The sequence below is a fragment of the Homo sapiens genome, chromosome 18, assembly GCF_000001405.40.
Source record: "Homo sapiens chromosome 18, GRCh38.p14 Primary Assembly".
Taxonomy (NCBI): Eukaryota; Metazoa; Chordata; class Mammalia; order Primates; family Hominidae; genus Homo; species Homo sapiens.
Genome location: NC_000018.10, coordinates 21,328,991 through 21,356,640, shown reverse-complemented (window position 1 = coordinate 21,356,640; position 27,650 = coordinate 21,328,991). Strand labels below are relative to the sequence as shown.

The 27,650-nt window shown below is 41.6% G+C and overlaps 1 protein-coding gene across 24 annotated transcripts in view, besides 1 other annotated feature; it reads right to left on the bottom strand.

The window, feature by feature from the left end:
* GREB1L (GREB1 like retinoic acid receptor coactivator) overlaps positions 1-27,650 on the bottom strand; it is a 283,881-nt gene that overhangs the window by 169,472 nt on the left and 86,759 nt on the right. The window lies entirely within an intron of this gene.
* Positions 13,734-14,332: an enhancer, noted in NCBI's record as "OCT4-NANOG hESC enhancer chr18:18922270-18922868 (GRCh37/hg19 assembly coordinates)". NCBI's record gives its function as "activates a minimal SCP1, AML or CMV promoter by ChIP-STARR-seq in naive H9 embryonic stem cells {active_cell/tissue: H9 hESC(naive)}" and the evidence as "EXISTENCE:reporter gene assay evidence [ECO:0000049][PMID:30033119]".

Genomic DNA, 27,650 nt, shown 5'->3' with positions numbered 1-27,650 from the left:
CACCCCCCTGGTCACTACAGCATTATTCATAATAGCGAAGTTATGAAATCAACTTAAGTGTCCATCAACAGATGTATGTACAAGGAAAATGTGGTATATATACACAATGGAATACTATTCAGTCTTTAAAAAGAATGAAATCCTGTTATTTGGAACAACATTGATGAACCTGAAGGATATTATATTAAGTGAAATAACCAGGCACAGAAAGACAAATACTGTATAATCTCAATTATATATGGAATCTTAAAAAGTCAAACTCATTGAAGCAGAAAGTCAAATGACAGTTATCAGGGGCTGGACTGGGAATAGGTTGAGATGTTGGTCAAAACACACAAAATTTCAGTTAGAAGGAATAGGCTGGGTGCTGTGGCTAATGCCTGTAATCCCTGCACTTTGGGAGGCTGAGGTGGGCAGCTCACCTGAGGTCAGGAGTTCGAGACCAGCCTGGCCAACATGGTGAAACCCCATCTCTACTAAAAATACAAAAAAAAAAAAAATTAGTTGGGTGTGGTGGCACATGCCTGTAATCCCAGCTACTCAGGAGAATGGCGTGAACCCGGGAGGTGGAGCTTGCAGTGAGCCGAGATTGCACCACTGCACTCCAGCCTGGGCGACAGAGTGAGACGCCATCTCAAAAAAAAAAAAAAAAAAAAAAGAAGCCTAATTATTTTAAAAATAAGTATTTCTCATACAAAATTAGAAACAACACAATTCTAATTAAATCTCAGTAGAATTTTCATGGAACTTTACAAAAACATTTATAAGTTCACAAGGAAGATAATTTAAGACAAGAAAAAAATCTTTTCAAGAAGATTATAAGGGGAGGTGAGTAAGAACCACATTAAACCATGTCATAAAGAAAGAACTCTGGGTCAATAAATCCGTGTCACTAAATCCAGTGAACATTTTTCAGTTCTCATCTAACATGCCTTTGAGTAGATTTCTGAAACTTCCTTCCCTTCTGCTGGATTTCATCTCATTGCTTTTCTGGTTTTCCTGTATCCATAGGCTGCTTCTCAATTTCCTAAATGTTAGTGTTCCACAGGGTTTAGTCTGTGGTAGCTATCTTCCAAGGTGGACTCCAGTGATTCTTACTTCCTGTGAATCAAGGCTGACTTGTGTGATCAATAAAATATTGAACAAGAAGGCCAGGTGTGGTGGCTCACGCCTGTAATCCCAGCACTTTGGGAGGCCGAGGCAGGTGGATCACGAGGTCAGGAGTTTCAGACCAGCCTGGCAAACATAGTGAAACCCCATCTCTACTTAAAATACAAAAATTAGCCAGGCATGGAGGCGTGTGCCTGTAGTCCCAGCTACTTGGGAGGCTAAGGCAGAAGAATTGCTTGAACTTGGGAGGTGGAGGTTACAGTGAGCCGAGATTGCACCACTGCACTCCAACCTAGGCTTCAGAGCAAGCCTCCATCTCAAAAAAAAAAAAAAAAAATTTAACAAAAGACAGCATGTGATTCCAAAGGTCATAGAGGATACTGCAGCTTCTGACTTGATCTCTTGGATCACTTTCTCTGAGGGAAGGCAGTCACCATGCTCTAAGGACACTAAAGCAGCTCTGTGGAGAGACCTTCATGGGTTGGAACTGAGGCCTCTTCCCAAGAGCTGGTATCAACTTGTCTAATTGTCCTCCTTGCCTCCTCTCTAGCACCTTCCAATCACTTCTCTGCATTACAATGCAAATGCAATCATGCTAACCCTTTGCTAAAAGCCTTCGAGATTTTACATTTCTCTCAGGAAAAAAATCAACATCCTAAGTATCCCTGCACATCTCTCCAGCCTTATCTTGCAATGTTCTCTTCCTAAATGCTGTGTTCCAGCAACACTGATCAACCTTTAAATGCTTACATTCCCTCTGCCTGAAATACCACCCACCCCATCTTTTACTTTTGTCTATTTAAACTTCTTTTGCCCTTTAGATTTCAACTCAAGCATGGCTCCTAATGGAAGCCATCTTTGACTCCCTCCGTCCTTTGCTAAAAGCTCTCATAGAACCTTGTTCATCTCCCTCCTAACAATTAACTCACTTTTAAGCTGCATGATAATCTGTATGATTAATGTTTATCTTCCCTATTATATTCTAAACTCCATGAAAGCAAAAATTATGTTTTTCTGTTTTTGCCTATTCTGAAATCACAGCACCTACTGTAGTACCCACCAACATAAGAGGCACTCAAACTATTTTTTTAAACTTCTTGTTGTTGTTGAAAACTGGGTCTCAATATGTTGCCCAGGCTGGTCTCTAATAACTGGGCTCACGCTATCCTCCCACCTCTGCCTCCCTAAGTGTTGGGACTGCAGGCATGAGCTACCATACCTGGGCAAAACTATTTTTTGAATAATAATCTAACGTATCAGATTGGCACAAAAATGAAAAGCTCAATGGTGACAGTCTGAAAAACTTTATTATTTATAAGAATTCTTATGTGACAATTGAGGCATTATAAAATAATAAAGGGAAGGACAAATTACTCATTTAATGATCCTAAAATAATGATCAACAATTTTAAGAATAACAATTACGAAAGAATTAATTTATAGGCTGGGTACAGTGGCTCACACCTGTAATCCCAGCACTTTGAAAGGCTGAGGTGGGTGGATCACTTGAGGTCAGGAGTTCAAGACCAGCCTGGCCAACACGGTAAAACCCTGTCTATACCAAAAAATACAAAAAAATTATCTGAGTGTGGTGGTATGCACCTGTAATCCCAGCTACTCGGGAGGCTGAGGCATGAGAATCACTTGAACCCAGGAGGCAGAGGTTGCAGTGAGCCGAGATTGCACCACTGCACTTCAGCCTGGGTGACAGAGAGAGACTCTGCCTCAAAAAGAAAAGAAAGAACTTATATGAGACACTAAAAATAAATTTGAAAGAATAAAAGATTAAATTTAAATGTCTATACATAAATGCATTTACATGCCCATTCATATCAAACCATATAAAAACTAAGAGGAAACAGAAGTATTTATTACAGATATATATCACATATATTACCAGCATTTATTATGTTATAGTGAAAGTTTAGCTTTCTTAACCTAGAAATCACAAAGGCTGACATAGTTGACTAGTGAAAATATAAAACATCTGTATATTACACACCTAAAACAAATAAAATGAAAAAAGAATCAGCTAAGAAAAATGTTCCTGAGGAGCTAATGTCTATTATATATATAATAAAGTAAAACATTAGTACCCCCACCCTTGAGAACAAATATTCCATCAATAGAGAAATGGTTAAGCATATTCTAGTAACAGTAATAGCTGCTACTATTGAGTACCTGCCATGTACCTTGCATACCCTGTCTCGGTTAATACTTACAAATCCATCCGTAAGTGAAACACTATCATACTATATTTTTGACATAGATATGTATTTACAATACATTAAATGGAAAATATGTTATAAAAGCAATATGGTCCCATTTCTTTCTTCTTTTTTTTTTTTTGAGACAGAGTCTCACTTTGTCACCTAGGCTGGAGTGCAGTGATGCGATCTCTGCTCACTGCAAGTTCCGCTTCCCAGGTTCACACCATTCTCTTGCCTCAGCCTCCTGAATAGCTGGGACTACAGGCGCCCGCCACCATGCCCGGCTAACTTTTTTGTATTTTCAGTAGAGACGGGGTTTCACCGTGTTAGCCAGGATGGTCTCAATCTCCTGACCTCATGATCCGCCCACCTCGGCCTCCCAAAGTGCTGGGATTACAGGCGTGAGCCATCGTGCTCAGACTATATGGTCCCATTTCTATAAGGAAAAAATAATTTAATAAGATATAAATTCATACAGTGATATAATCACATTATGTGGGTGATGTGATTATAGAATATAAATTTTTCCCTTTATGCTCATTATTTTCCAATTTTCTACAATGAAATTGTTACTTTAAAAATATAAAAGCCGGGTGCAGTGGCTCATGCCTGTAATCCCAGCACTTTCGGAGGCTGAGGCGGGTGGATTGTTTGAGCTCAGGAGTTCAAGTCCAGGCTGGGCAACATGGAGAAACCCTGTCTCTACTAAAAATATAAAAATTAGCCAAGCATGGTGGCATGCACCTGCAATCACAGCTATTCAGGTGGCTGAGGCATGGGAATTGCTTGAACCCGGGAAGCGGAGGTTACAGTGAGCCGAGATCTCACCATCGCACTCCAGCCTGGGCAACAGAGTGCATAAAAAACATATATATATATTTATATATATATAAAAGCACACTGCAAACTTAATTAAGCCCTGTATTTATTATTATTATTGCTAATACCATTATTGACTTTGGACATTTGCTATTGCAAAACATTGACGTTTTCATGACAAGTAATACCTTTTCACATCAGTAGGTTTATTGTAGATAAATGTACTGTGACAAGTACAGTTTATGGATGTTTGCATAGTAAAGACTACAAATATAACTTGTTTTTAATACCCCATTCATATATTATTTTTATCATAAGCCAATGAATTTGATAAATTTATTTAAAATAGCTTGCATGGCTGGGCGTGGTGGCTCACGCCTGTAATCCCAGCACTTTGGGAGGCAGAGGCAGGTGGATCACGAGGTCAGGAGTTTGAGACCAGCCTGGCCAACATGGTGAAACCCTGTCTCTACTAAAAATACAAAAATTAGCCGGGCGTGGTGGCGCGTGCCTGTAATCCCAACTACTCAGGAGGCTTAGGCAGAAGAATTGCTTGAATCCGGGAGGCGGAGCTTGCAGTGAGCCAAGATTGTGCCACTGCACTCCAGCCTGGGCGACAGATTGAGACTCTGTCTCAGAAAAAAATAAATAAATAAAATAAAATAAAATAAAATAGCTTGCATAGGTGAAGCTTTGCAAAACTTTCCATGACCATACAGGAAGTAGTCTGAAACTGATAACCTGCAGGATGAAACACAAGTTTCACAACCTAGTGTTTGAAAACTTTCGTTATCTTACCTTTCTGTGCCTATTGAAACTTATCACCTATCATACCCCAGAATGTAATATCTATTCCTTTCCATTTGATTTTATTGCCATCCCCAACAATAACAAGCCCATATCCATCTCTGTGCCTTTTTTTTTTTTTTAAGACAAAGTCTCACTCTGTTCCCCAAGCTGGAGTGCAGTGGCACGATCTCGGCTCACTGCAACCTCCACCTCCTGGATTCAAGTGATTCTCCTGCCTCAGCCTCCCGAAGAGCTGGAACTACAGGCATGCGCCACCATGCCCTGCTAATTTTTGTATTTCTAGTAGAGACGGGGTTTCACTATGTTGGCCAGGCTGGTCTCAAACTCCTGACCTTGTGATTCACCTGGCTCAGCCTCCCAAAGTGCTGGGATTACAGGTGTGAACCATCACTCCTGGCCAACAGTTTTAATTTTTAAATAATTGAATTAACCAGTTTTCAAAATGTTAAGCAGTTGTGTAGAAACATCTACATAAAGCAGTATTATATTTCCTAGAGGCTCTAAGAAAGCAAAACAGTAGAATAGAGGGAGAAAGAGACAAGAAGGAAAAAAACCTATTTGAATAAATGTTACATTTCACTTAAAAATAAATTAAACTTTTTCAGTGTATTGATTATTTTGTAAGGGGAACAAAATATATATATTTCCATCTTACCCATTCTCTCTTGCTATTACGAAAGGGGCAGAAACTCAAACTCCCCCACCACCACCACCTCCAAAAAACAGAGAAGAAGAATGAGAATAAATAAGATGAGGTTGAAGTAGCCAGCCAGGAATATGGGGTATGGGGTATGAAGGGAGAGGATCTCAGATAAAAGTGTCAAACAGTTTTTTTCCAGCAAGGTTTTTTACGGATTTTCTCCCTGCATACCCCAAATTCCCACTACAATCTTTTCCCCACTTCTTATAGATGTTCTAACTTTCTTTAGTTCATTCCTGAAAAACATGGGATCCAATCAGTTGTTTCCTATCGTCTGTGCTGGTGACTCCTCCATCTACATCATTGCCCATGAAGTCTTTTCTGAGTTGCTGCTCCCAAGCTAGAAAAATCTAGGAAACATCATTTTTGTGTTATGCCATCCTGTCAAACTCAATATGCCAACTCAACATGTTCAAAATATGTAAAACATAAATTATTATTAAAGCAAAATCTAGCTGGGCGCAGCGGCTCACATCTGTAATCTCAGCACTTTGGGAGGGTGAGGCGGGTGGATCACCTGAGGTCAGGAGTTCAAGACACGCCTGGCCAACATGGTGAAACCCCATGTCTACTAAAAATACAAAAAATTAGCCGGGTGTGTTGATGTGTGCCTGTAATCTCAGCTACTCGGGAGGCTGAGGCAGGAGACTCACTTGAACCCAGGAGGCGGAGGTTGCAGTGAGCTGAGATCACGCCATTGCACTCCGGCCTGGGCAACAGTGTAAGACTCTGCCTCAAAAAAAAAAAAAAAAAGAAAGAAAGAAAAGAAAAATCTATTCCCTTTCCCTGATTTTATTATTTTATTCATGTATTCACCTAGAAACTACTGAGAACTGTGCTAGGAATGATGATAAAGGCAGTCCCTAATCTCAAAGAGAGTCCAATCTAGACATGCAGACAGACCTGTGAATGTATAAATGTTCATTAGAAGTAGGAAAAAAGTACTATAAAAGCTCATAGGATGTAGCAACTCTGAAGAAACAGAAACAACATCACACAAGAGGTGATATTTTGGGTGGTTTTAAAGCAGCAGTCCCCAACCTTTTTGGCACCAGGCACTGGTTTCGTGGAAGACAATTTTTCCACAGCCAAGGGTTGGGGTATGGTTTCAGGATGACTGAAGCCCATTACATTTATTGTGCACTTTATTTCTATTATTATTGCATTGGAATATATAATAAAATAATTATACAATGCACCATAATATAGAATCAGTGAGAGCCCTGAACTTGTTTTTCTGCAACTAGATGATCCCATCTGGTGGTGATGGAAGACAGTGACAGATCATCAGGCATTAGATTCTCATAAGGAGCATGCGACCTAGATCCCTCACACACACAGTTCATGATAGGTTTTGGGAGCCTACGAGAATCTAATGCCGCCACTGATCTGACAGGAGGTGGCACTCAGGTGGTAATGCTCGCTTGCCCACGGCTCACAACCTGTTGTGCCGGCCCAGTTCCTAACAGGCCACGTGGCCAGGGGACTGGGGATCCTTGCTTTAAAGGACAAAGTAGGAATTCATCAAATTAGGAGGACCTCACAGGTCAACAGAACAGACTATCAAAGGCATAGTGTATTTTAGAAATACTAAAGTTAATTGTTGGGTGCATGATTTGGGGGATGGAGATTGAGTGGCAAGAGAAAAAAAATTTAAAAAGTAAGTTGGGGCCAGTCTCTGTAAGGAGACTTATACACTAAATTAGGGATTTGAATATAATTCTAGAAGCAGGAAAAAGCCAATGGAAGTTTTCAAAAAAAAAATAACATAATTAGATGTTTTAAAACATAAAAGGTAACTTTGGAAGTGTGAAAGCGTGATTAGAGACCAGATAAAAAGTTTCTGCAGGAGTCTAGGAAGAGGTGATGGAGCTTGCACATAATCAGGGGTGGAAGGAACAGAGAAGAGAAGCCCTTTCATTGTGCACTGAGAAATTCAGGACTTGACTTCAGGATGTGAGGACTGAACAAGCAGTCCCTGGAGACAGAGGGCAGCCACACAGATGGCCGCTATGGACACTGGGTTTTTTGTTGTTGTTCTTGTTTTAAGACAGGGTCTCACTCTGTCACCCAGGCTGGAGTGCAGTGGTGCAATCATGGCTCACTGCCACTTCCACCTCCTTGGCTTAAGTAATTGTCCCAACTCAGCTTCCCGAGTAGCTGGGACTACAGGTGCATGCCACCATGGCTGGCTGATTTTTAATTTTTTTTTTCTTCGAGATGGAGTCTGGCTCTGTTGCCCAGGCTGGAGTGCAATGGTGCGATCTCAGCTCACTGCAACCTCTGCCTCCCGGGTTCAAGCGATTCTCCTGCCTCAGCCTCCCGGGTAGCTGGGATTACAGTCACCTGCCACTACGCCTGGCTAATTTTTGTATTTTTAGTAGAGACAGGGTTTCACCATGTTGGCCAGGCTGGTCTCGAACTCCTGACCTCAAGTGATCCACCTGCCTCAGCCTCCCAAAGTGCTGAGATTACAGACATGAGCCACTGTGCCTGGCCTAATTTTTAAATTTTTTGTAGAGATGGGGTCTCACTATGTTACCCAGGCTGGTCTCAGACTCCTGGGATCAAGTGATTCTCCCACCTAAACCTCCTAGAGTGCTGGGATTACTGGCATGAGTTACCATGCCCAGCTGCTATGGGTACTGGTGAGATTACCTGGTGACTGCCTAGGTGGGAGAAGTATGTGGAATGAGAGAGGGTCCAGGAGGAAACCATGAGAAACACTGTCATTTAAGAGTCAAGCAAGCCAGGCGCGGTGGCTCACGCCTGTAATCCCAGCACGTTCGGAGGCTCAGGCGGGCGGAACACGAGGTCAGGAGATTGAGACCATCCTGGTTAACACGGTGAAACCCCGTCTCTAATAAAAATACAAAAAAATTAGCCGGGCATGGTGGTGGGTGCCTGTAGTCCCAGCTACTCGGGAGGCTGAGGCAGGAGAATGGCGTGAACCCGGGAGGCGGAGTTTGCAGTGAGCCAAGATCGTGCCACTGCATTCCAGGCTGGGCGACAGAGCAAGACTCTGTCTCAAAAAAAAAAAAAAAAAAAAAAAAAAAAATTAGCCGAGTGTGGTGGCACGTGCTTGTAGTCCCAGCTACTCGGGAGGCTGAGGCAGGAGAATCACTTGAACCTGGGAGGCGGGGATTGCAGTGAGCCGAGATTGTGCCACTGCACTCCAGCCTGGGCGACAGAGCAACACCCTGTCTTAAAAAAAAAAAAAAAAAAAAAAGGTCGGGGGGCTGGGCATGGTGGCTCACGCCTAATCCTAGCACTTTGGGAGGCAGAGATGGGTGGATCACCTGAGGTCAGGAGTTCGAGACTAGTCTGGGCAACATGGCAAAACCCCGTCTCTACTAAAAATACAAAAAATTAACCAGGCATGGTGGCAAGCTCCTGTAATCCCAGTTACTTGGGAGGCTGAGGCAGGAGAATTGTTTGAATCTAGGAGGTGGAGGCTGCAGTGAGCTGAGATCTCACCATTACACTCCAGCCTGAGCGACAAAGCAAGATTCTGTCTCAAAAAAAAAAAAGAGTGAAGCAAAGGAAGAGTAAAACCAGCAAAGAAGATGGAGAAGGAGCAGCAGAAGCAGGAAGGGAGCCAGGAGCAGAACAGTGTGGTGAAAGCTGAGGGACAAGACAATCTGGAGAAATGGAAGGTGGTAGACAGTTACAGTTGTTGTTGGTTTTTTTGTTTTTGTTTGTTTTTTTTTTTTGAGACGGAGTCTTGCTCTGTTGCTCAGGCTGGAGTGCAGTGGTGCAATCTCAGGCTCACTGCAACCACTGCCTCCTGGGTTCAAGCAATTCTCCTGTCTCAGCCTCCCTAGTAGCTGGGACTACAGGCACCCACCACCACGCCCAGCTAATTTTTATATTTTTAGTAGAGACGGGGTTTCACCATATTGGTCAGGCTGATCGGTGGTAGACAGTTTTAAAAGGTAGGAGAAGTCAAATAGGATCAGGAATGAAAATGTCCCATGGCATGCGATTAGCCTTTCAAGAAGCAAGTGTGGTGAACAAGGGTGGAAATAGGTTGGTAATTGTCAGAAAGGTACAATGGCAGGAAGAAATAATTAGAAGGAGGGATGCTTGCAGGATGAGGTTCTTTCCTTAAAGAAAAGGAAGAGTTGATGACTAATGGAATAAGGTTCTAGAGGGGGCAGAGAAGAGAGAGAGAACAAGGATGGAAGCCACACATTGATGGCAGAAGCACGAGACAGGACCGAGGCTCCCTGATGATAGCAGAGATGCTTTATCAGTCTTGGACTGTTACCTCCAAATGTTATGCCAAGAAGAAAGAAACTTCTAACTTGCTGTTTCAGGTTTCCTGTCATTTGCAGACAAATGTAAACCTAATTAGGACAGGAGAAAGGGCTGTGGAAAGAACAAGAATAACCAGAAACCTCTTAAAAGCATGAAGACATGAAATAGCACAGTATGTCCAGAAGATAAGACCAAGACCAAGTAATCTTGGTCTAGACTCCCAAGTGTGAGAGAGGGCATGTTAGGAAAGAAAGATGGAAATATAGCCCAGGTCTCAATTGCTGCAACTAGATCCTATAGATAAAAGATAGCCGTGAATGAGTGTTAAGCAAAGAAATGACATGTTCACATTTTAGCTTTGAACGGATTTCCCCGGTGGCAGTCTGGTAGGGGCTTGTGAGGAAGTAAAACAGGATGCAGGGAGAGTGTTTAGAAACTCCTACTATAGTCCTAGTGAGTGGTCATGATAGCCTGTGTGGGTGCAGTTATGGGAGGGTTACAGAGGGTGGGATGAGCCTGGGAAATATTTAGGAATGAAATCAGTGGGAATTAGTGATTGATGACACGGCGAAGTAATTCAGGAGGACGTCGAGGTTTCTGCCTTGCATTGCTTCTTTTCTCCACCCCTATTGTCAGTAGCTTAATCTAGGCATGCCGCTACCTCATTTTCTCATTCAACGAGTATTTACTGAGTGCCTTCTTTGTGTCAGGACTGGCAGATACAGAAGTGAGTGAGTCAGAAATGATCTAAATGATCTCTGCTCTATTCGGTCTTAGGGATACCTATGATGAATGCTTCATATGTGAGAACTCATTTAATCCTCAGAATACCCTGTAAGTACTTTTTTTTTTTTTTTTTTGAGATGGAGTCTCACTCTGTCCCCAAGGCTGGAGTGCAATGGCATGATCTCAGCTCACTGCAACCTCCAGCTCCCAGTTTCAAGTGATTCTCCTGCCTCAGCTTCCTGAGTAGCTGGGATTACAGGCACATGCCACCATGCTTGGCTCATTTTCGTATTTTTAGTAGAGATGGGTTTCACCATGTTGGCCAGGCTGGTCTTGAACTCCTGACCTCAAGTGATCCACCCACCTCGGCCTCCCAAAGTGCTGGGATTACAGGTGTGAGCCACCGCACCTGGCCTGTAAGTACTATTATGGTCTCCATCTTTCAGAAAAGGTAACCCAGTCTTAGAAAGTTTAATAGTTGGCTCAAGGTCACACAGCTGACTGACAAGTGATGGTGCCAGGAATCAAACACAGATCCATCATACTTCAAAGCCATGTTTTTAATCACTTGACAATGCTATTTCTCATGCAATTATACACAACGTGTTAAAGACCACGACAAGGATTACTGCAGCCTCCTACCTGGACATGGCATGTTCCAGCCAGAGTAGTTCTTTTTTCAGGCAAACTGGGGTGGATGATGGTACCTTTTCTGATTCAGGGAACCCTGAGAAAGAAGGTGAGATTTCTGGACAGAAGGTGATCCATTCAGTTCTTAGACATATGGTTTTCGAAATGGCTGTGAAACAACCAAATGGAAATATCCAGCAGTAATCTAATAGGGTCTGAAGTGCAAGGGAACCCAGGGTTGGAGATAAAGAACTTGGCTTCACTAGTACTTAGGGTCAGCTAAAGTCAAGGCAATTAATGGGACTCTTCAGGGATTCCTAGAAGTGAGAGGAGCAGCCTGCTGAGAAAGGGGCAGGTGGGTACAGGCTTGAAGAGAGTGGAATAGATTTGGAATAATTGATTAGATAAAAAGGAAAGGAACTCAGCCAAAGGCAGTCAAAGATATAATTAGGTCACATTTAGGGATAGGGACAATGAATTTAGAGTGATCTCAGTCTGCAATGATGAGAGATTTTCTCCAGTAGCGATCACCAACTCAAGAGTAGGAACACTGGCCAGCATTTTACTGTAAGTTTCTTTCATTTCTTACAGTCTTATTTAAGACTGCCTATGAGTTCCCAGATGACCCTGAATTTACCTTTGACCAGCTATTAAACACCTGGCCTACGAAGTTGTATTAAAATCCATCTTTCCTTTAGATTTTGAAATCTTTAGAGTCACAGTTTGTGTTTTATTCATTTTTATTCCCACTAACTCACACAGTACTACTTGTATACTTGTTTTATTCCCAGATTAGACTGTAAATTCCCAGAGGGGAGGAACTATAGTTTCAACACCTTTGCAGGAGCATCACCTCAGTACAACATCTGTGAGATCAGATTGACTTTACACTGTCAGTTGCAATGGAGAAACAAGCCAAATGTCTAACACTATCAAGCAGTTGTTGTTGTTGTTGTTGTTGTTGTTGTTGTTTTTGAGACAGAGTTTTGCTCTGTCGCCCAGGCTGGAGTGCAGTGACACAATCTCGGCTTACTGCAACCTCCACCTCCCGAGTTCAAGCGATTCTCCTGCCTCAGCCTCACGAATAGCTGGGACTACAGGCGCCTGCCACCAAGCCTGGCTAATTTTTGGTATTTTTCATAGAGACGGGGTTTCACCATGTTAGCCAGGATGGTCTCGATATCCTGACCTCGTGATCCGCCCGCCTTGGCCTCCCAAAGTTCTGGCATTACAGGCGTGAGCCACCGCACCCAGCCTCAAGCAGTGATTTTTAAGTGTTCAGACTTGGAGTTAACAATCCAGGCTGGGCATGGTGGCTCATGCCTGTAATCCTAACACTTTGGGGGACTAAGGCAGGTGGACTGCTTGAGGTCAGGAGTTCAAGACCAGCCTGGCCAACACGGTCAAACCAGTCTCTACTAAAAATACAAAAATTAGCCGGGCATGGTGGTACACACTTGTAGTTCCACCTACTCGGGAAGCTGAGGTGGGACATGCCTGTAGTCTCAGCTACTTGGAAGGCTGAGGTGGGGGAATCACTTGAATCCTGGAGGCAGAGGTTGCACTGAGCCAAGACAGTGCCACTGCACTCCAGCCTGGGTGACAGAGCGAGACTCTGTCTCAAAAAAAAAAAAAAAAAAAAAAATCTCTCTTCTCAACCTTCTGCTCCCTGTGTTTCATTAAGAGGTAGCGAGGACATGTCCACCCTGGTATGCGGCCATTTTGTCTTTGGGGTTTGGGCTCTACTGGCAGCTCGATAAATTCTGTGACCAGGGACAAACTACTAAGCACTTCTGGGTCTCTTGATCCTCATTAGTAAAACTGAGTGGACTGAACCCAATAATTGCTTATGCCCTCTCTTGTTGTATAATCCAAAGATTCCATGACCTTTGGGAGACCTTTAAACCATACCTGAGAACCACTGTCTTGTGAAGCACAATAATACATGGGCTCTGTGTTTCCCTACTGGAAATGGACAAATCCCTCTCTCTATAAAATTGGGTTATAATCTAGAGATCATAGCATTTCTAAAATGAAGACACTAACATTTTATATTTATTGCTTTGACAGCTAGGCAAGACATTTTATCAGATACAAGGTTGTTTTTCAATGGTAGGTTTACCCATGAATCCAGTCGGGGCACTTTAGTTCACTATGATAGTAGAAAAGAAAGCTAGAAGAATATAAAACATCATCTTGGCTCTTATATGTACCTTGCTGACTAACTCCCTTTTTTTTTTTTCCAGATAAGAAACCAAAAGGTGTCCATGACTTAGGTACTAAATGGCAAGGCTGGAACCAGAATCCAAGTTGCCCAGTCACACAGTTTTTGTTTTTTAAATAACCAAATTGGTCAAAAATCTTCCTCAAAGACAAAAACAGATGAAGGTAAAATGCCAATTGGTTAAATTTAAACAGAGACTTCACTTTGTTCTTTTCAGGTTCAATAATAAACAATTCTAGTGATTAGCATGAGGGGCTGGCAGAGGAAACATTCTGACTCCTAAACAAAAATATTTATATTTTTGCATGGTGGTTAGTAAATCAATTGTAAAAATTATATGGAAAACAAGGAGAATTAGAAAACCCACAGCACAATTTCCTCTACTCTTTTGGGGGACAGATGAAAAAACAAAATGAAATCCCTGTGGCTACCTTCATTAGCAGCCAGGGTGGTGAGTCCCATTGTAAATCTCACTTATAGAGGCTCATGGCTACCTGCAGAGCCTAGGAGAACAAATCACATTAGTTAAGACACCAGATGACCAAAGGAAGCAGTGAGCGTCTGGTAAAGCTAGTAAACAAAAGGCAGCATTCCAGATGAATGCCATTGCTAGAGCCTGCATTGTAAAATGCTTGGATTTGAGAACCCTAAAGCAGATTAGCTTAAAGCAACAAAAGATTCAAATAAGATACAAAGAACTCATTTTGGCACATTAAGAAATTGTCTTCATTAGATCATCAGGTGCTTAAGTGTAATTATTACAGAAAAAAAAAATCCCATCTAAGTTTTGTTTGAGGCAGTGAAGCCTAGAACAAGGACCTAAGGATGGTTCTTGAATATAACATGTTCATGACCAAAATTCACCAACCAGACACAGTGGCCTTTTTCTCTTTTAATCTTCTTAACATTTTAAAGGTCTGTAATGACATTAAAATTTGTTGTGGACATCATTTCAACATTCAGTCCATGATGATGGACTGAACATCAATTCAGGCCATCAATCAGTCTGAAATTTTACAAATGCATTTAGAGACCCTATAAGCACATAGGCAAAAATGGTTCCAATAATTTAAATGCTAATCCTAAAACCCTAAAGCCAAAATTGAGGTTTAATAATGAAAATCTTTCCCTATAATTTCTATTTTCAGGAAATTAATTTCTCATCATATCTCCCCAGTTTTGTTTGATTATAACAATGGCCCCTCACCACCAACAAAAGCAGTTCAGCTCCCACTTTCCCTTTGAAAAGTATTCCCATCGTTTTGTCAAAGCCTAATAGGGTCATAAGCAAGGCTGCACTGACATGGAAGGAAAGACCTTACACCTAATACACTGCTGTCACCTGAAGCTTTCAGGCCAGGTGAAAGCTTTGACTTCATTTGTGTTCAAGCAGAAAAACACTAGAAAAATTCAGTCAGTATGAACTCCAAAATGCTTTTTGGCTTCACCACTCCTTTAGGTTTAAAAATTATAATAAGTAGCCAGGTGTGGTGGCTCACACCTATAATCCCAGTGCTTTGGGATGCTAAGGTGGGAGGATCCCTTGAGGCCAGGAGTTTGAGATCAGCCTGGGCAACACAGCAAGAACCTGTCTCTACAAAAGATTTAAAAAATTATCTGTGTGTGGTGGTGTATGCCGATAGTCCCAGCTACCCTGGAAGCTGAGGTGGAAAGATGCCTTGTGCCCAGGCTGCAGTGAGCACTTGCAATCACATTTGTTTGACAGAGGACAAGGGAAGTACAGAAATCAAGAAGCTTGTGGCTGAGTCATATTTCAAGATGATTGCAGATGAGAGGCACGGCTCCCCACCACAAACTTTCAACTGGAGGAACCCTTGCCAATGCTGTGGCCTCTCCTGTCTTTCCAGTTTTGTCATAAAGACAAGTGGCAGGTATCTATCCTATCAAGTCAGTGACTAGTACAAATTCTCAGATAGCTCCTTATTTGCTGACTGCAACACACAGGGTCTCCTTCCATTTTCTCATCTACTCCTTTCCTCTCTTCTTGGTAGCCAAGGCAGGACCAAAAATGGCCTGACCATTACTGCTCTGAAAGCCAAGACAGGCAGTGGTGATCATGCTTCACTACTTCATAATCATGTAGCTTGAGGCTAGTTATCTGTAAAATGGATATATCTCCTACTTCATAGTGTTACAGTAAAGAAGATAATGTATGTGAAGTACGTTGCATGTATTAGGTATGCAACAAATGTTAACACTCCTCCTTATATAAATCCCTAACCATGGGAAGAACACACTTCTCTACTTTATAGAATTCTTTCATGTATATTATTAACATCTTGGTTAGGGCCGGGTGCGGTGGCTCAACGCCTGTAATCCCAGCACTTTGGGAGGCCCAGGCGGGTGGATCATGAGGTCAGGAGTTCAAGACCAGCTGGGCCAACACGGTGAAACCCCGTCTCTACTAAAAATACAAAAAAATTAGCCAGGCATGGTGGCGTGCGCCTGTAATCCCAGCTACTCAGGAGGCTGAGGCAGGAGAATCACTTGAACCTGGGAGGCAGAGGTTGCAGTGAGCTGAGATTGTGCCATTGCACTCCAGCCTGGGCGACAGAGCAAGACTCCGTCTCAAAAAAAGAAAAAAAAAAGAAAGAAAAAATCTTGGTTAATCTTTATAAAATTACCACACTCATAAGTAGCCAAATACTGACACTCAAATGCATGTCCTCTGACTCCAAACCAATGTGGTTTTTTTTGTTTGTTTGTTTTTTGAGACGGAGTCTCGCTCTGTTGCCCAGGCTGGAGTGCAGTGGCACAATCTCAGCTCACTGCAAGCTCCACCTCCAGGGTTCACGCCATTCCCCTGCCTCAGCATCCCAAGTAGCTGGGACTACAGGTGCCCACCACCATGCCCGGCTAATTTTTTTTTATATTTTTAGTAGAGACAGGGTTTTACCATGTTAGCCAAGATGGTCTTGATCTCCTGACCTTATGATCTGCCCGCCTCAGCCTCCCAAAGTGCTGGGATTACAGGCGTGAGCCACCACACCCGGCCCCAATGTTTTTCTATTGTGCTGCAATGAGGGGTTGTGGTAGTGGGACCACAATTATATTCCTGTAGCATCAGATCCTGCGGGTGGGGGCGAGGAGCATGGCCTGAGCCAGGAGGGATCTTAGAAGCAAACAAATGAAGCAAAAATAGAGACACAAATAAACCCATACCACTTAGGTAGCTGCCAGAGAGGTGAGGTGGACTTGGGTTTTGTCAATAAAGTGTCCACTGTAAAAGGTAATCAGAATAAAAGTGAAAATAATTGTATTGTTGTAGGTTCTAGATCTTTGTAAGAATGTTATTATTTTAGGTTGCTCAAAAAAAATCTTATGAACACAATAGACCCAACAAAATGTTATCTTAGTCTAAGGTTGAGAGAGGTTTCCTAATTGTCATTAGACATAACCAATGTCTAAATTAACCAAAATTTTATAAACAACATCTCAGAACTGCATTGAAAGCTTTGAACACTTTGCTTCACTTAATTCTTATAATGACATTATGAGATAGAGCCTTTCATTCATTACATGAGAAAACAGACTCTAAAAGGTTGAGTGACTTGTTCAAGAAAGTTAGCAGTGCTAAGATTCAAACCTAGGTCCTTTAAAATCTATCATATGCTTTTCAGGCTAAGCTACACTAAATTCTCCATAGTCACAGAAAAGAATATGTAAAATGGTCCAAACTGTAATCAAATTGTTAATCAAAATTCAAGGGAGAAATAACTAATGCTATGTTGGTTAAACATGATTTTACTTACACAGCTTGTGAAAATTCCTGATTAGAAATATCTGAGGTCAGACTGACAGCCTAAAACTGCCTTAGAATAGAAGAAACAATATGGGATTCCTAGTCCACTCTTACATGATTCTATACAATCAAATACATTCTGACTCCACTATGTGCCTTTTAAATTTCAACTTTTCTAATAAGATAATTTTTTTTTTTTTTTGAGATGGAGTCTGGCTCTGTCACCCAGGATGGAGTGCAGAGGTGCGATCTCGGCTCACTGCAACCTCAGCCTCCTGGGTTCAAGCAATTCTCCTGCCTCAGCCTCCTGAGTAGCTGGGATTACAGGCGCCCGCCACCACGCCAGGAATTTTTGTATTTTTAGTAGAGACGGGGTTTTGCCATGTTGGCCAGGCTGGTCTTGAACTCCTGACCTCAGGTAATCTGCCCACCTCAGCCTCCCAAAGTGCTAGGATTACAGGCGTAAGCCACTGTGCCCGGCCTAATAAGATAAGTTTAAAACCTAACTCAGACTGATAATTTTTGATCCACGGACATGATCCTCACTCTCCTTTATAACCTTTCATTCTGTTATCTGCCTTGGGAAAGTCTTTGTTGAGAAGTAAAATATAAGGAACCTCCTAAAGGAGTTGAGATATGTAGGCTGGTGGCTTAAGTTGAAAAACAACTTATTTTTATTTTGGGGTAAAAAGTGAAGAAACACAGGAGAATCCTAGGAAGAAACAGCATGGAGAAACAAGTGATCATAGCTGTGGATGAAGACAATCAACAGACAAGTGAGGTGGAGTGGGTCAGCCCTGAGGCCTGGTGCCCAGAGATAGGCTCTGAAAGTCATTTTGCTGGTCTGACAGTGATGGTGGTGGTAGAAAGTGCTGAATGATAAACTGGAGTAGCAAGGAAGAATAGAACAGATATTTCCATTTGTTTCAGCAATGGCTACAGCATGGGCTATATTTGATCTGAATATAACAAAATAGAAAATCTCTTTGGAATTACTACTGATTTTCCCTGATGTGACTGGTGTGGCCAATGAAACACTCTTTACATTCAGAATTTTAGATCAGTGTTTCTCACAAAGTCTAGCTCAAGGACTGCATCAGCATCACCTGAGGAACACTGTTGCCATGTAGAGCTCTTATTCCCTCTCAGAGATTCATGAGTCAGTGGGTCTAGGAAAGGACTCAGGAGTTTGCATTTTGAACACCCCAGAAAGGGTTGATGGATTAAGAAAATAGGCAGCCCTAAGCTTGATTCTATGACATTAGAGTTTGAAAAACCACTTATTTGGATTAAGAGAGAGATCAAAATTGTGTATAATTATTAAATGGGATGCTTATTTGTAAGGATTAACCAAACATATTAAAAAGAAAGGAGAAAAAAAGAATTTTTTTTCTTTTTTTTTGAGACGGAGTCTTGCTCTGTCGCCTAGGCTGCAGTGCAGTGGTGCGATCTCGGCTCACTGCAAGCTCCGCCTCCCAGGTTCACGCCATTCTCCTGCCTCAGCCTCCCGAGTAGCTGGGACTATAGGCGCCCACCACCACGCCCAGCTAATTGTTTGTATTTTTTAGTAGAGACGGGGTTTCACTGTGTTAACCAGAATGGTCTCGATCTCCTGATCCCGTGATCTACCCGCCTCGGCCTCCCAAAGTGCTGGGATTACAGGTGTGAGCCACTGCACCCGGTGAAAAAAAGAATTTTTAAAAAGACCTCTCACTGTCTGACTTTAGGACTAGATAGTTGACTGCTCTGTGCTTCTATCTCCTCCTTCAGAAAATGGAAACAAATCAGTTATGGTGCCTCTTAAGCCCCTTGCCATTCTATGGTTCTGTTCACAAAGTGCTCAGAATTCCTCAAGAAGGGTGCTTACAAGCACCAGAGAGTTTTGAAAGGCCGTTTTGCCATTACAGCAGCAACTGGTCCTGGGATGAGTATCACGTCCACTCTCCACTACTTCTTGGATGCCTGTAGCATTTGACCTTTACCTTTTCCTCTCAGGCTAGCACTATCCTGGAACAAGAATACTAAACACAATTAAACACTGTTTATCAACTAGGCTCTTTATTATAAAACATAAAAAAAAAATCAAAACACTAAAAACAAACAGCAAAAGAATCCCAAAAGCTTCATCAGAAATAAAACCTCACAAAATCACTGAGATTCAACAGTATGCTTAGGATCTGAAGAAAAAGGGATTCCTCCAAGTTTTATATTCTACTTTTTCTTCTAAAATGGCTTTTAACCAAGCTTTCAATAATCATCACTGGATCCTGCATCACATCAAGGGTATGTGTTCCTAAAGAACACTGCGGAATGTTCAACTATGTAATAAGAGATATCAAGTCTGTGGAATTTTGAGGTTAAGGAGGCTGCAAATGATACTTGACACCCTCATTTCATGGAAAAGTTAAGCAATAAAATCACATTATTGAATACTAATTACTGAAGTATTTCACTAGAGAAGGATAAACCAGAAAGGAGAAGAGTTCTGATAAAGTGGTCCAGAAGCAAAAAGGCTGGAGCGGGGTAGGGAGGGTATAGAAAGATGCACAGGGAGTCTGCAAAGATAAATTCTGACCACTAGCAGTATGCTGGTGGTAAGTAAATGCCAGTGTGCCTGAGAAATCATGGTGCCGCTGCCTATAGCATCGTGCTCTGGCTTGCTAAAGTTAGTGTATGCCAGAAAGGGAAATAGATCACTGTATAAACTGAAAATTAGTCCCATTAAGTAGAGCACATGCAAAAGAATAAGTATAATCTGACTCCATATAAGGGGGACCCAGCAGAATTTATGTGCTTATTCAAAGTTTCCTTGCAGCATTACTGTCATAAGGTCCTGTTGCTTTACTACTAATAGGTATGCGGGCAGCTGGGGTGAATGTCATCCCATGTAATTCCCAATGCTAAGGGATTTATTTTGCTTATTGCTATATAATAATGCTATTGGATTACTGGTAAAGCAATCAGGGTCTCTCACTATGGCAGCTACGCAGGTCACTTCACGGAAGGAAGGGAGACACCTGGTTCACATGGCCAAGCACAGCAAAGGGAGCATGTGAACTTTCAACAGAAGAGAAAGCTTTCTACCAGATGTGAAGAAGTAAAGTTTATTTTTCCATTTAGCTTGTTTATTTAAGTAAGAGGGAAGAAGAGGGTGGTTGCTTCCCATTCCATACTACTCAGGGAATGGCTTTTCTTTTTTTCTTTACAAATGAACAGAGTTGGCTATTACAGTTTCCAGTGGGATCTGGAAAGGTACCAAACTACTAGTGATTACCTTTCACCTGTAGCTAGTTTAACCTTTGAAACCTGCCACTAACAGAGGAGACCAAGATAGAACGTCAGTGCAGCCTTGCTCATCTAGCATCCTCTCACTGAAAGAATGAAGAATGTTTTAATGATGAAATTATTTTAAGAAATGCAAAACACGGCCGGGTGCAGTGGCTCACACCTGTAATCCCAGCACTTTGGGAGGCTGAGGAAGGTGGATCACGAGGTCAGGAGATCGAGACCATCCTGGCTAACACGGTGAATCCCCGTCTCTACTAAAAATACAAAAAATTAGCCAGGCATGGTAGCAGGCGCCTGTAGTCCCAGCCACTCGGGAGGCTGAGGCAGGAGAATGGCATGAACCCGGAAGGCGGAGCTTGCAGTGAGCCGAGATTGAGCCACTGCACTCCAGCCTGGGCAACAGAGCAAGACTCTGTCTCGAAAAAAAAAAAAAAGAAAAAAAGAAATGCAAAACACATTATAGCTATAATCAAGGCCTTCATAAGATTAGTTTAAATGCTCAACAGCTGAGAAACTCTCAAGTCTTAAGTTAATTTGCCTTTTAATCATTGTGTATAAGAAGCAGTGTGATAGAGCTTTTACATGTAAAACAAAATAGCCCTCCAAAAAAATCTTTTGTCCTTGATTCATCTAACTTCTCAGATTAATTTTGTCTTACAAACCATTTGTTTTTGGAATGAAGACCTTCTTGATATACATCCAAAGACACACATGATCTTTTTCACAAATTGTTTTAACATTATTCTTAATGCTAAAGGTATGATATGCTATTAATAAATAATACAAAAAATAACACAAAACAATCATGGGTATTTTGATCATGTATCCATACTCAAAAAGGCTAGGCTCCAAAGTATTAAATGGCCTTTTCCTATTATACAGTCATTTAAAAAACGTTTACCGTCTCCTCTTTTCCCATAATAACCTGCTGTCCTGCTTATTACGGGGAAAGAGAGAACACTGTCACTAAGATTAATGGAGCATCAGTAAAATATGTTAGGTACAAATGACCCACTTTTATGTACTGCCAGAACAATTTAGCAAGGGTTTAGGAAGGAGAAAACCCAAAGTTCTTTTCCACTGAATTCATACAGCTAGTGGGGGGATAAATTGATTGTTCTCTTTTAATGGTAGGCTCACAAAGACAAAGAGAGAAACATTTTCTGTAACTGGCTATATTTTTTATTAATTAGTAAACTTTTATCTTCAAATGTTCTAAGTCATCAAGATGAATTACCTCCAGTTTTAATTAAAGCCTCTCAAAGGTTAATTCATCCTGCTAAAAGAGAGCACAAAAGGATAATAATGGGGCAATTTTTTTTTTTTTTGAGATGGGGTCATACTCTGTCACCAGGCTGGAGTGCAGTGGCGCAATCTCAGCCTACTGCAACCTCCGCCTCCTGGGTCCAAGTGATTCTCCTGCCTCAGCCTCCTGAGTAGCTGGGAGTACAGGCGTGTGCCACTATGCCCGGCTAATTTTTTTTGTTGTTGTTTGTTTTAGTAGAGACGGGGTTTCACTGTGTTAGCCAGGATGGTCTCGATCTCCTGACCTCGTGATCAATAATGGGGTGATTTTTTTATCCAGCAAGACAAAATGTAACAGAATCATCAATTCCCTCTTCACAAAGGAAGAAGAAAACTTTTTTGGACTTTTATTTTCCTGGAACTGTTTCTTAAACACTTTCTATGTTTCATGAGAATCATCACTTTAGTTTTATCATCTTCAAAAAACTCAAACTGGATATGGAACTGATAATAAAGTTTAGATCCTGCTCAAAACTCAAAATTTCTAAATTTTGAACCTAAATCTATTTACCCAGGTACTGATACCAAGTGGAATTAAAACAAGACTCACTCACTTCGTCATGGCTACAAACTCTTACAAAAATCTGAATCGGACCCTACAATTACTATAGTTACTGCAAAACTTACTAACATTAGCTAATATTTAACGCACATTTTAATGATTTTGTCTTGAGGAATGTAATAGTTCATTTTTATTTAAAACCAAGGTTTGACTACCATTTCACAATAGCAATGTTGGGGCCCTAGGAAAGGTAGGGAAGAAGTATCTAAAGTGGTACAGTCACTAGAAATGTAATTTTTTTTTTTTTTTAGGCAAGATCTTCGTCAGTCGGTCACCAAGGCTGGAGTACAATGGCACAACCATGACTCACTGCAGCCTCAACCTCCCAGACTCAAGCAATCCTCCCACCTTAGTCTCCCAAGTAGCTGGGACTACAGGTACATGCCATTACTTTGAGCTAATTTTTAAATTTTTTGTAGAGATGGGGTCTTGCTGTGTGGCCCAGGCTGCTTTTGAACTCCTGGCCTCAAGCAATCCTCTCACCTCAGCCTCCCAAAGTGTTGGGATTACAGGGGTGAGCCACCAAACCCAGACTAGAATTCTTTTTTTTTTTTTTTTGAGACAGAGTTTTACTCTTGTCCCCCAGGTTGGAGTACAATGGCATGATTTCGGCTCACCACAACCTCCACCTCCTGGGTTCAAGCGATTCTCCTGCCTTAGCCTCCCAAGTAGCTGGGATTACAGGCACCTGCCACCACACCCAGCTAATTTTTGTATTTTTAGTAGAGACAGGGTTTCACCATGTTGGCCAGGCTGGTCTCAAACTCCCAACCTCAGGTGATCCGTCTGCCTTGGCCTCCCAAAGTGCTGAGATTACAGGCATGAGCCACCATGCCCGGCCTTAGAAATCTATTCTTAAGGCTCTGATATAAAACTATTACCCTGATGATATAATCACAGAGTAACTAAGATAATACATTATACATAACATAAATATTGTATCACTATCACTATACAATTAATAGTTAATAAATGAACCCAGTTATAATAAATGAACCCAGTGCATGCGAGTGTGTATATGTGCATGTATAGTAATACATCCTTCCAGGCACCAGACTTCTGGGAAACCTCTACTACCTAGCCTAGAACCAGTTAGATACCCAGAAATAAGAGAGACCGTATGTGCGCGCGCGCGCGCGCGTGTGTGTGTATTAACATAGGGTCTCTGTCACCCAGGCTGAAGTGCAGTGGTGTAATCATGGCTCACTGCAGTCAGCCTCAACCTCCTGGGCTTAAGTGATCCTCCTACTTCAGCCACCTAAGCAGGTGGGACTACAGGTATATGTCATCACACCCAGCTAATTATCTAACTTTTTGTAGAGACAGGGTCTCACTATGTTGCCCAGGCTGGTCTCGAACTCCTGGGCTCAAGTGATTCTACCATCTCAGCCTTCCAAAGTGCTGGGATTACAGGTGTTGAGCCACTTCACCTGGCCAAAAATAAATTTTTACAGTGGTAGGCCAGGTGTGGTGGCTCACGCCTGTAATCTCAACACTTTGGGAGGGTGAGGCAGGTAGATCACTTGAGGTCAGGAGTTCAAGATCAGCCTGGGCAACATGGTGAAAACCCACCTCTACTAAAAATATAAAAATTAGCTGGGCATGGTGATAGGCACCTGTAATCTCAGCTACTTGAGAGGCTGAGACTGGAGAATCGCTTAAACCCAGGAAGTGGAGATGGCAGTGAGCCAAGATTGTGCTACTGCACTATAGCCTGGGCAACAGAGCCAGACTCCATCTCAAAAGAAAAAAAAATTTTTTTTTTTTTAGAGTGGAATAAGAAAATAAACGGAACTGGTTTGTTTTGTAGGTACAGGCTTACCCTCAGGTATAAAGCAAAATAGCCATTTACCAGCAACATGATAAATACATTCTAGGGAGAAGAGATAACATAACTTACCTGAAAGAAAGAGACTCCATTTGTATAAAAAGTGACAGTAGAAATAAAAATGCGGCTGCTCAGGCCACTTAGCATAGAGGCAAATAACCCTACACCATGCTTCAACAGTCCCTGAGGATGACAATGTATTTCAATGTAGTACAACAGCAGATCTTCATATTTATGACCCTGGGTCAGTTAATGTGCATTATTTAAAAGCCAGAGTATTAACTAATGAATTTTAGGAAGATTTTTCATTGAAATCTTTTTTGTTGTTGTTGTTTAAGTTTTGAAGTTTCAGTTATCTGGAAAATAAAGTTACTTGGAACAACTTTACTATTCTTATGTTCCATGAAATATATTGAGTCTCTAACTTTCAAAGGTTTTTCAGAATACCAATTTGTTTTGTTCAGAGTGACTGTGAAGAATGTAAATACCTTAAATATTATCACTATTTACAACTAAATTAAATCATACAATTAAGTGAATTTTTTAAAGATACCTTTTCAGATTATAGAATTCATTGCCTTGTTAAAAACTGTGTTTATTAATCTTCTGTACAATTTTTGGTTGTACTGCCCGTATCTCCTCTGCCATATCACTACAAGAAACTGTTCCTGGTTTGTAATAAGTTATCACCTACATTATTATGTCATTGTTAAAGCTGATATACAAACTCAGGTATTAAGGTTTCTGAAGATCTGCATGAGGAACAGGAGGAGGAATTTCTTGAAACAGAAATTCCAGATTCATTCATTACTCCTTGAATGTCATGGATGTAATCCAGGGGTCTCCAAGAATTCTTAGAAGACAACAGAATAAGAAGATTTTAGAGCAGCTGAAATCTTTAACTCTCTTTCTTTGAAAATCTTCTGTCACAAGTCAGAAGGATAATGTCTCTTTTTACCCAATGAGAAAGCTGTTCTCACACGAGCATAATTAATCTTCTGACACCATGACAAAGAAATTCCTTAAAGGGATTTCTCCGATTTCCTCTCAAGACAGAAGATTGTCTTTATCCATCATCTGTTCTTCCTGATCCCTTCTTTTTGAATATCCACATCAGCAGAATTGTCCATCAGAGGAGACAGCAGGAGGGAAATCTCTGCATGATTGATAGGGCCCCAATGCTCTGCATGCCTATTTAAGTGCAAGCATCTATTGTTGCAAACTTACTTTACAGCAGTTAAACAAATATAATAGTCACCAATTCAACCATTGTGTAGCTCAGACTTGACTAAAACTAGTAAGTGAAGTTTGCTAATGACAAGGCACTGATTTTGAAGCCAGAAAAAAACTCCGCAGATGAAATAGCCTGATGTTGATTTATAAAAAAGAAATTCTCAAAACTATGGAACAGTATATGTATATTAGAAAGTGTTATAACCTATACTGTATGCAGATGGACATTTCCATTAAAGAGCAAGAAAAAGCCAATACTTATATAATGTTGTGATTTTTAAAAATTCTAACAGTCACTCAGTGCTTTTTACCTCCATTAATGCTATCTAGGTCGGGAGGAAGTGGGGAGTTGGGATGGCATATGTTATCATCCAAAAAAAAATTAGGTATGTCAAGGAAGCAAGTTTGCTTCTGACACTCCCTTAAAATTTTTTTTTTCAGACTCATTCTAGTAAAGTTTTTTCAAAGAGAGACTTAGGTATGTCTGTGTGTTCTTACCCCCCTCAGTGGAAGAAAACCAAAGGCCATTTGAGACTTCCTGTGAGTACTTGCCACTTCCATGGGTGGGACTAATGAGTCAGAGCAGTATAGGTCAGTTTCAAGTGGAGGAGCAAAACATGCAGGGCAAAGGTCCAATCCACAGAAAATGCAAGCTGGGCTCTACATTCAAAGCAATCAACACGAAATGGAAACGGATCTAGAGATTTCTAAGTGGTGGTAAGAGCGCACCCAGTATCAACAGCAGAGGTTACAGCATGCTCTGTGTTCTTTACAGATGCTGCCAAGAGAGGCCACTTAAGGCCAGACACTAGGACACACTGACACCATGCATTCTGTCTGTACCACAGTGACCTTGAATACTCAGTTCTGGACGCACCCTGTGAAAATATTTGTTTATCCTTCCCAATTTCCAAATAATGAGGCCAGCCCTCACGAGCCAGGGCTGCAGCTCGTTGGTGCTGCCCTTGGCATGGTTAGGACAGACTGCCACTGCCTGGCCCTACTCTGGGGCTTCTTCTCCAGCTGACCTGCCTGCCCAGCCAACAGAGCAATTGACAGCTGACCCATAGCCAGGACCCACATGTTCTATAAGAACTGGCTTAATTATGGTTTTTCTTCAGTTACAAAGTTAAATGCAGGATTGATGACCCCTTTGAAGACCTAGGGAAAAAGTTATATCCAAGATAAAGACCCCCCCCCCCCAAAAAAAAAACCATTGTGGGTAAAGAGGAGTGCCAAGAAATTGGAATGTAGGATATACTCCAGAATTTGAATACAGAGAATCTGGAAATCAAGAAAGAGTGAGTTGGTAGTGAAAGTAACACAGGAGAGGGGGCTAGATGGGAAATGCATGCAGCAGCCCAGAGGGAACTCTAAAGTGTTCCCTCAGCAGCAGAGGACCAGAAATTAACAGGATTGTGAGGGTTGTTTTGGGGAAGGGGGACCAATCCTCATTGTTTTTGTTTACCTATTTTGCATCATAAGGCATCTCGTCAAGGAGACCAATAAACATTTACTAATGGTTAGAATGAAACTTGAGCAATAGGCTACTAATGCTGCTCAAAGCCAGGTGCGTAAGACCCAGGAAAAGGTCTGGAAAGTCTTCCTTGGACACTCTGGGTGGAAAAGCAATCAAGTCCTTGAGATTAAGTCCAAGTTCAAAAGGAGTATCTTTTTGCCCACAATTATCCTTGGAGTTAAATCATTCATGAGAAAAAAAAATACCAGTGCTCACAAAAAAACTCAAGGAAAAGCAAACATTTCATTATTTTGCCCTTCAGAGATCTTTGTAAGACAAGGGTCAATTGTAATATGGTCCATTACAATTTTTTTTTTTTTTTTTTTTTTTAGACAGAGTCTCACTCTGTCGCCCAGGCTGGAGTGCAGTGGCCTGATCTCTAATCACTGCAACCTCCACCTCCCAGGCTTAAGCCATTCTCGTGCCTCAGCCTCCCAACTGGTTGGGATTACAGGGACACACCACTATGCCTGGCTAATTTTCGTATTTTCAGTAGAGATGGGGGTGGCACCATATTGGCCAGGCTGGTCTCAAACTCCCAGCCTCAAGCAATCTGCCTGCCTTGGTCGCTCAAAGGGCTGGGATTACAAGGTGTGAGCCACTGTGCCTGGCCTCCATTACAATATTTTAAGTCTAATTGTGCTTACAGCAGTGACTCTGGAT